The sequence below is a fragment of the Homo sapiens genome, chromosome X (assembly GCF_000001405.40).
Source record: "Homo sapiens chromosome X, GRCh38.p14 Primary Assembly".
NCBI lineage: Eukaryota > Metazoa > Chordata > Mammalia > Primates > Hominidae > Homo > Homo sapiens.
This window is the reverse complement of record NC_000023.11, coordinates 133,004,653-133,013,638: the sequence shown is the minus strand read 5'-3', so window position 1 is coordinate 133,013,638 and position 8,986 is coordinate 133,004,653. Positions and strand designations below refer to the sequence as shown.

At 42.7% G+C, this 8,986-nt stretch overlaps 2 annotated features.

The window, feature by feature from the left end:
* Positions 3,206 to 3,706: an enhancer, noted in NCBI's record as "H3K4me1 hESC enhancer chrX:132143961-132144461 (GRCh37/hg19 assembly coordinates)". NCBI's record gives its function as "activates a minimal SCP1, AML or CMV promoter by ChIP-STARR-seq in primed H9 embryonic stem cells {active_cell/tissue: H9 hESC(primed)}" and the evidence as "EXISTENCE:reporter gene assay evidence [ECO:0000049][PMID:30033119]".
* Positions 3,707 to 4,207: an enhancer, noted in NCBI's record as "H3K4me1 hESC enhancer chrX:132143460-132143960 (GRCh37/hg19 assembly coordinates)". NCBI's record gives its function as "activates a minimal SCP1, AML or CMV promoter by ChIP-STARR-seq in primed H9 embryonic stem cells {active_cell/tissue: H9 hESC(primed)}" and the evidence as "EXISTENCE:reporter gene assay evidence [ECO:0000049][PMID:30033119]".

The window sequence follows — 8,986 nt, the reverse complement described above, 5'->3', positions numbered from 1 at the left end:
AGAGTTTTTAGCATGAAGGGTTGTTGAATTTTGTCAAAGGCCTTTTCTGCATCTATTGAGATAATCATGTGGTTTTTGTCTTTGGTTCTGTTTATATGCTGGATTACATTTATTGATTTGCATATGTTGAACCAGCCTTGCATACCAGGGATGAAGCCCACTTGATCATGGTGGATAAGCTTTTTGATGTGTTGCTGGATTCGGTTTGCCAGTATTTTGTTGAGGATTTTTGCATCAATGTTCATCAAGGATATTGGTCTAAAATTCCTTTTTTGATTGTGTCTCTGCCCGGCTTTGGTATCAGGATGATACTGGCCTCATAAAATGAGTTAGGGAGGATTCCCTCTTTTTCTATTGATTGGAATAGTTTCAGAAGGAATGGTACCAGCTCCTCCTTGTACCTCTGGCAGAATTCAGCTGTGAATCCATCTGGTCCTGGACTTTTTTTGGTTAGTAAGCTATTGATTATTGCCACAATTTCAGATCCTGTTATTGGTCTATTCAGAGATTCAACTTCTTCCTGGTTTAGTCTTGGGAGGGTGTATGTGTCGAGGAATTTATCCATTTCTTCTATATTTTCTAATTTATTTGCATAGAGGTGTTTGTAGTATTCTCTGATAGTAGTTTGTATTTCTGTGGGATCGGTGGTGATATCCCCTTTATCATTTTTTATTGCGTCTATTTGATTCTTCTCTCTTTTCTTCTTTATTAGTGTTGCTAGCGGTCTATCAATTTTGTTGATCTTTTCAAAAAACCAGCTCCTGGATTTATTAATTTTTTGAAGGGTTTTTTGTGTCTCTATTGCCTTCAGTTCTGCTCTTATTTTAGTTATTTCTTGCCTTCTGCTAGCTTTTGAATGTGTTTGCTCTTGCTTTTCTAGTTCTTTTAATTGTGATGTTAGGGTGTCAATTTTGGATCTTTCCTGCTTTCTCTTGTGGGCATTTAGTGCTATAAATTTCCCTCTACACACTGCTTTGAATGTATCCCCGAGATTCTGGTATGTTGTATCTTTTTTCTCATTGGTTTCAAAGAACATCTTTATTTCTGCCTTCATTTCGTTATGTACCCAGTGGTCATTCAGGAGCAGGTTGTTTAGTTTCCATGTAGTTGAGCAGTTTTGAGTGAGTTTCTTAATCCTGACTTCTAGTTTGATTGCACTGTGGTCTGAGAGACAGTTTGTTATAATTTCTGTTCTTTTACATTTGCTGAGGAGTGCTTTACTTCCAACTATGTGGTCAATTTTGGAATAGGTGTGGTGTGGTGCTGAAAAAAATGTATATTCTGTTGATTTAGGGTGGAGAGTTCTGTAGATGTCTATTAGGTCCACTTGGTGCAGAGCTGAGTTCAAGTCCTTGATATCCTTGTTAACTTTCTGTCTCGTTGATCTGTCTAATGTTGACAGTGGGGTGTTAAAGTCTCCCATTATTATTGTGTGGGAGTCTAAGTCTCTTTGTAGGTCACTAAGGACTTGCTTTATGAATCTGGGTGCTCCCGTATTAGGTGCATATATATTTAGGATAGTTAGCTCTTCTTGTTGAATTGATCCCTTTTACCATTATGTAATGGCCTTCTTTGTCTCTTTTGATCTTTGTTGGTTTAAAGTCTGTTTTATCAGAGACTAGGATTGCAACCCCTGCCTTTTTTTGTTTTCCATTTCCTTGGTAGATCTTTCTCCATCCCTTTATTTTGAGCCTATGTGTGTCTCTGCATGTGAGATGGGTTTCCTGAATACAGCACACTGATGGGTCTTGACTCTTTATCCAATTTGCCAGTCTGTGTCTTTTACTTGGAGCATTTAGCCCATTTACATTTAAAGTTAATATTGTTATGCGTGAATTTGATCCTGTCATTATGATGTTAGCTGGTTATTTTGCTCGTTAGTTGATGCAGTTTCTTCCTAGCCTCGATGGTCTTTACATTTTGGCATGTTTTTGCAGTGGCTGCTACCGGTTGTTCCTTTCCATGTTTAGTGCTTCCTTCAGGAGCTCTTTTAGGGCAGGTCTGGTGGTGACAAAATGTCTCAGCATTTGTTTGTCTGTAAAGTATTTTATTTCTCCTTCACTTATGAAGCTTAGTTTGGCTGGGTATGAAATTCTGGGTTGAAAATTCTTTTCTTTAAGAATGTTGAATATTGGCCCCCACTCTCTTCTGGCTTGTAGAGTTTCTGCCGAGAGATCCGCTGTTAGTCTGATGGGCTTCCCTTTGTGGGTAACCTGACCTTTCTCTCTGGCTGCCCTTAACATTTTTTCCTTCATTTCAACTTTGGTGAATCTGACAATTATGTTTCTTGGAGTTGCTCTTCTTGAGGAGTATCTTTGTGGCGTTCTCTGTATTTCCTGAATCTGAATGTTGGCCTGCCTTGCTAGATTGGGGAAGTTCTCCTAGATAATATCCTACAGAGTGTTTTCCAACTTGGTTCCATTCTCCCCATTGCTTTCAGGTACACCAATCAGACGTAGATTTGGTCTTTTTACATAGTCCCATATTTCTTGGAGGCTTTGTTCATTTCTTTTTATTCTTTTTTCTCTAAACTTCCCTTCTTGCTTCATTTCATTCATTTTGTCTTCCATCACTGATACCCTTTCTTCCAGTTGATCGCATCGGCTCCTGAGGCTTCTGCATTCTTCATGTAGTTCTCGAGCCTTGGCTTTCAGCTCCATCAGCTCCTTTAAGGACTTTTCTGCATTGGTTATTCTAGTTATCCATTCGTCTAATTTTTTTTTCAAAGTTTTTAACTTCTTTGCCATTGGTTTGAATTTCCTCCTGTAGCTCGTAATAGTTTGATCATCTGAAGCCTTCTTCTCTCAACTCGTCAAAGTCATTCTCCATCCAGCTTTGTTCCGTTGCTGGTGAGGATCTGTGTTCCTTTGGAGGAGGAGAGGCACTCTGCTTTTGAGAGTTTCCAGTTTTTCTGCTCTGTTTTTTCCCCATCTTTGTGGTTTTATCTACTTTTGGTCTTTGATGATGGTGATGTACAGATGGGTTTTTGGTGTGGATGTCCTTTCTGTTTGTTAGTTTTCCTTCTAACAGGCAGGACCCTCAACTGCAGATCTGTTGGAGTTTGCTAGAGGTCCACTCCAGACCCTGTTTGCCTGGGTATCAGCAGCAGTAGCTGCAGAACAGTGGTGGCTGTAGAACAGCAGATATTGGTGATCCGCAAATGCTGCTGTCTGATCGTTCCTCTGGAAGTTTTGTCTCAGGGGAGTACCCGGCCATGTGAAGTGTCAGTCTGCCCCTACTGGGGGGTGCCTCCCAGTTAGGCTGCTCGGGGGTCAAGGACCCACTTGAGGAGGCAGTCTGCCAGATCTCACATCTCCAGCTGTGTTGTGTGAGAACTACTACTCTCTTCAAAGCTGTCAGACAGGGACATTTAAGTCTGCAGAGGTTACTGCTGTCTTTTTGTTTGTGTGTGCCCTGCCCCCAGAGGTGGAGCCTACAGAGGCAGGCAGGCCTGCTTGAGCTGTGGTGGGCTCCAACCAGTTCAAGCTTCCCGGCTCCTTTGTTTACCTAATCAAGCCTGGGCAATGGCAGATGCCCCTCCCCCAGCCTCACTGCCGCCTTGCAGTTTGATCTCAGACTGCTGTGCTAGCAATCAGCTAGACTCCGTGGGCGTAGGACCCTCCAAGCCATGTGTGGGATATAATCTCCTGGTGTGCCGTTTTTTTAAGCCCATTGGAAAAGTGCAGTATTAGGGTGGGAGTGACCCGATTTTCCAGGTGCCGTCTGTCACCCCTTCTTTGACTAGGAAAGGGAACTCCCTGACCCCTTGTGCTTCCCGAGTGAGTCAATGCCTCGCCCTGCTTTGGCTCGCGCCCGGTGCACTGCACCCACTGTCCTGTGCCCACTGTCTGGCACTCCCTAGTGAGATGAACCCGGTACGTCAGATGGAAATGCAGAAATCACCCGTCTTCTGCGTCGCTCACGCTGGGAGCTGTAGACCGGAGCTGTTCCTATTCAGCCATCTTCATGAAATTCTTAAGAAATGAATATAATGTAATTCACTTCTGGTTTCTTCAAGTCTGTATCAATTTATCTACCACAAACCACAAAATATTCTGCAAAACCAGTAGGAAAGCTAAATCTTGTAAAAACCTCTCATTTGCTATATCTTTTAGAAAGTAATTCAATCTAAAGAGCCACTGTTGAATAGAAATATGATATCTCTGCACTTTCCTACCTGTGTATGATGTATACAGCCTTTCCTCAGTATCTGTGGGGCATTGGTTCCAGGAACACCCCCACCTTGCAGATACCAACATCTGTAGATGCCAAGTCCCTTGTATAAAATGGCATAATATTTGTGTATTACCTATGTATGTCCTCCCATACACTTTAAATCATCTCTATATTGGTTATCATACCTAATACAATGTAAATTCTATGTAAATAGTTGTGCTGTATTGGTTATTCATATTTTTTGTTGTTTTGTTATTTTTTTTTCTTTTTTCCTAATATTTTCAATCCATGGTTGGTCGAATCCATGGATGTGGAACTCGAAGATACAGAAGATTAACTGTATTTTCTCACCTACCCCAGGGCTGTCATCTTCACGGCAGGTGACCAATATGGAGGAATGAACACTGATAAACTCTCACCCCACTGGGAGTTTTCAGTTTGTATTACCACATTGCCATTTAACATGTCCAGTGACCTCTACAATTCATATAATGGTCTCATTAAATATTTCAATAGGCTATCTGATGAATACAGTAATCCTTTTTGAGGTCATTCAGGATTTGGGAACTATACATTGTGTTCATCATATACACTGATTACTCTCATATCAATGCTGAATTCCACTCATCATCTGTCCCCACAACAGCCAACAGCATGTACTTGAAAAGCTGGTCAGTGCATGAATGATGTCATTCCTGCTGAACAACATTTAACAGGAGAAAGGCTGGCAGATGGGCAGTGTTGCCCAGGGTGGCAGAGGTGACTACAGACATGACCAATATACAGGAACAAACTCCTATTGCCAGATCCCTACTCATCATCCAAACATCAGGATAAACACTTTCTTGTATTCCCCAAAAGACAATGCTATGTCCCTACCAAATGACATACTTCCTTTGAATGAGTGGAAACCCATCCTAATCCCCAATAGACATAATATCCTGAATGTGGTTGGCAGAATAATGGCCCCCTCAAAGATAACCGTATCCTAATCCCCAGAATCTCTGAATATGATATGTTACATGGCAAAGGGAAATTACAGGTGGAATTAAGGCTGCTTATCACCTTATCTTAAAATGAAAGGTTATCCCTTCTGTGGAGGCGGAGGCAGGAGAATTGCTTGAACCTAGGAGGTGGAGGTTGCAGTGAGCCAAGACCGTACCATTGCACTCCAGCTTGGGCAACAAGAGCGAAACTCCATAAAAGAAAGGAAAGAAAGGAAAGGAAGGAAGGAAGAAAGGAAGGAAGGAAGGAAAAGAAAGAGAAAGAAAGGTGATCCTGGATGATCTGGGTGGGCCCAATGTAATCACAAAGGTTCTTAAAAGTAGAAGAAGGAGGAAGAACCAGAAAGATGATATCATAGGAAGGCTCAGCTTGACATTGCTGGCTTCAAATATGGAGGATGGGGCCATGAGCCAAGGAATACGGGTGGCCTCTAGAAGCTGGAAAAGGAAAGGAAATGGATTCCCTCTTAGCACCTCTGGAAGGAACACAGCCACTCTGGCACTTTGATTTAGCCCAGTAGGAGCTATTTCTGACTTAGGACCTCCAGAATTGTAAGATAATAAATTTGTGTTTTAAGCTGCTAATTTTGTGGTAATTTGTTACAGCAGCAATAGAAAACTAATATAGCATGGAATTACTAAGAGGTGCCCCAGAGACTCCCCTGGGTTCCAGATGACAATGTGGAACTTGGCCTGAGTGACCCTGTGACACTAGAAAACAGTGACGAATTCTCTCACCCTTTTGTGCTCCAGGAAATGACTTATTGCAAAGAATCATGCTTCTCCATATGAGTTGTGCATGACCTCCTTGTTTACTTACTGATGACAAGGCCAGACACAGACTCTCCAAATTCCCATTCTTCGTCATATAAATTTGTATTAGACTGTTCTCGCATTGCTATAAAGAACTACTGGAGACTTGGTAATTTATAAAGAAAAGAGGTTTAATTGGCTCATAGTTCTGCAGGCTGTATAGGTAACAAGGCTGGGGAGGCCTTAGGAAACTTGCAATTACGGTGGAAGGCAAAAGGGGAAGCAGGCACACCTTCACATGGTGGATCAGAAGAGAGAGAGCGAAGGGGAAGTTGCCACACACTTTTTTAAACAACCAGATCCTCATGAGAACTCTATTACAAGACAGCACTAAGCGGATGGTGCTAAACCATTAGAAACCACCTCCATAATCCAGTCACCTCTCACCAGGCCCCACCTCCAACACTGGGGATTTTCAACATGAGATTTGGGTGGGGACACAGAGTGAAACCGTATCAAAATTGAACTGACCTGGTTGTCCCCACTGACCAATCTGGACAAAATACCAACTAACTTGACTGGAGCAAACTTTAGTCTGGCTTCTCCCCTCTCCACAGACCCTTGAGCTTTGACCCACACTGTCAGCCTGAGCAAGTATCACAATGCAGAACAGCCCCTCCTTTCCTTAATGATCCCTCCAGGAAAATCAGCTGACCAAAAAGAAAGATTTTTTTTTTTTTTTTGAGACAGAGTCTCACTCTATCACCCAGGCTGGAGTGCAGTGGTGCGATCTCGGCTCACTGCAACCTCTGCCTCCAGGGTTTAAACAATTCTCCTGCTTCAGCCTCCCGAGTAGCTGGGACTACAGGTGCATGCCACCTTGCCCAGCTATGTTTTTGGTATTTTTAGTAGAGATGGGGTTTCACCATGTTGGCCACGCTGGTCTCAAACTCCTGACTTCAAATCATCCACCTGCCTCGGCCTCCCAAAGTGCTGGGATTACAGGCGTGAGCCACTGTGCCCGGCCAAGAAAGACATCTTTGATTGATTGTCCAATTATGCCACATACTCATTTCATGCCCTTGTATCTGGTTATTTCTAGCCTGCCTTAATTCTTCCTATAAAAGAAAAACCCTTTCTACCTGACTTTTGAGATACTTGCAGATATTATGGTCACAGGGTTATCCCTACCACAGTAGTCCCATTCCTTCTATTTCAACGGTCCCTTCAAATAAAGCGTCTCTTTACCAAAGTCCAGATTTGTTTGTTGTCGTTGTTGTTGTTGTTTTGACCCGTAGTCTTCCTTGGCTCCAATGTGTAGCAGCAACCTGATTTCTCTTTGGTAATCAGGATCCATGACTAGTAGATTAACCCCTCCTTATGCCAGTATTTTCAGCAGCACAAGGAGACCAAAATGGCCAAATGGCACTTTCAACTTCCAATTCAGTGGAAATACTGTTGTGCCTCTGGTGGAAGCATCCCCGCCTTGGGAACCAGTATCTCTAAATGAGCAGAGCTCAAAATTCCTGAAATGGAAAGCAAAAATTCAGGAAGTGGGTTATTAGGTGTAATCGTGAGAGGAGCCACCCCTACTGCCACTCCCTGATTTCTTAGCCCATTTATTATGGGTATGGAGAAGATAACACCACACTGTGGTCTCACATTTAAAGCACAAACTGCATCCTGTGAGCTGAATCCCATCCAGTCAGGATGTTTTTCTTCTAATTGGCACTGCAACTGAGTCTTCAGTAAGCCATTCCACCTTTCAGTTGGACCAGCTGTTTCTGGGTAATGAGGTATGTCACAACACCAGTTACATCCATGGGTATGAGACCTTTGCCACACTTCTTTTGCTGTGAGATGAATTCCTTTGCTGATAAGATTCAGGGCTGTGTGGAATGCCATGATGGAAGATTGGGCATTCTGTGAGTCTATGGATGGTGGTGCTAAGAGAAGCATTACTAGTAGGGAAGACAAACCATATCTATATTTATACCCAGATCTCTGTATCTATTTTAGTGAGGACAAATATTTGCCTCCATGGTGGAAGAGGTCCAGTGTCGTCAGTCTGGCAGTAGGTGGCTGGTTGGTCATCTTAGGAATGGTGCCGTATCTGGGGCTCAGTGTTCATCACTGCCATCAGCAGGTTAGGCCCTCAAGATAGCTTTAGCCAGGCCAGCCTTCATGAAGGGAGGTTCATGTTGTTTTGCCTGTGCCCAGCTTCCATCTCTGCCACCACTGCCACTTTGTCCACAGGCCTGTTCGGCAAGCACTCAGATGGCTGGAGAAAGAAGCTGACTGACATTGCCAGGGTGCATAATTTTGTCTACCTGATATTGTCACAGTCTGTGTCCATTCTGAGTCATCTGTCCACATACTTCTTCCCCAGACTTCCTCATATCCACACCGCTGACCCACTCCACAGTACCAGCTGCATGAAACAGCAGAGCCCCCTTTCTCCTGCAATGTCCTTCCATCGCCCTCTACTGGTAAAGCTCAGCATTTTCATTTTGGAATGTTTTAAAGAATTTTGTCCATTATCACAGAGCACTTATTGATGGATGAATTTGGAACTAAAAGATGATACATTGATAACTGGGAGAACTTCTTCACTTCAATATCACCAAAACCTTGGCCTATGTAGATTGGAATCTTGTTTGCTTAGCTAGTAAATTTCTGAGCCTCAGTTTTTTTTTGACCCTTGGTTAATAGCTCAAAAGGCATATTCCCCAACCCTGGATCCATCTGTAACATGAAAGGCTTAATACTTGTATGTTTTCAGCAACATAGTCCCCAAATACTTGAAAGGTCCCTTCATAATCTTGCCTAAAACCCCTGATCCCACCTTTTTCTACCCCACAGAATACTTGCTTCACCTAAAAATTTAAAAACAAGGTATGCATTCATTCCACAGTCATGGATGCTCCAAAAAGGTGATTAGGCTAGTTCATCTGCAAACACAGGCTTTAAGGCTCTTAGGTTTGAGGGAAGAAAGACACAGACACACATTTTTTTTTTTTTTTTTTTTTTTTTGAGACTGAGTCTTACTCTGT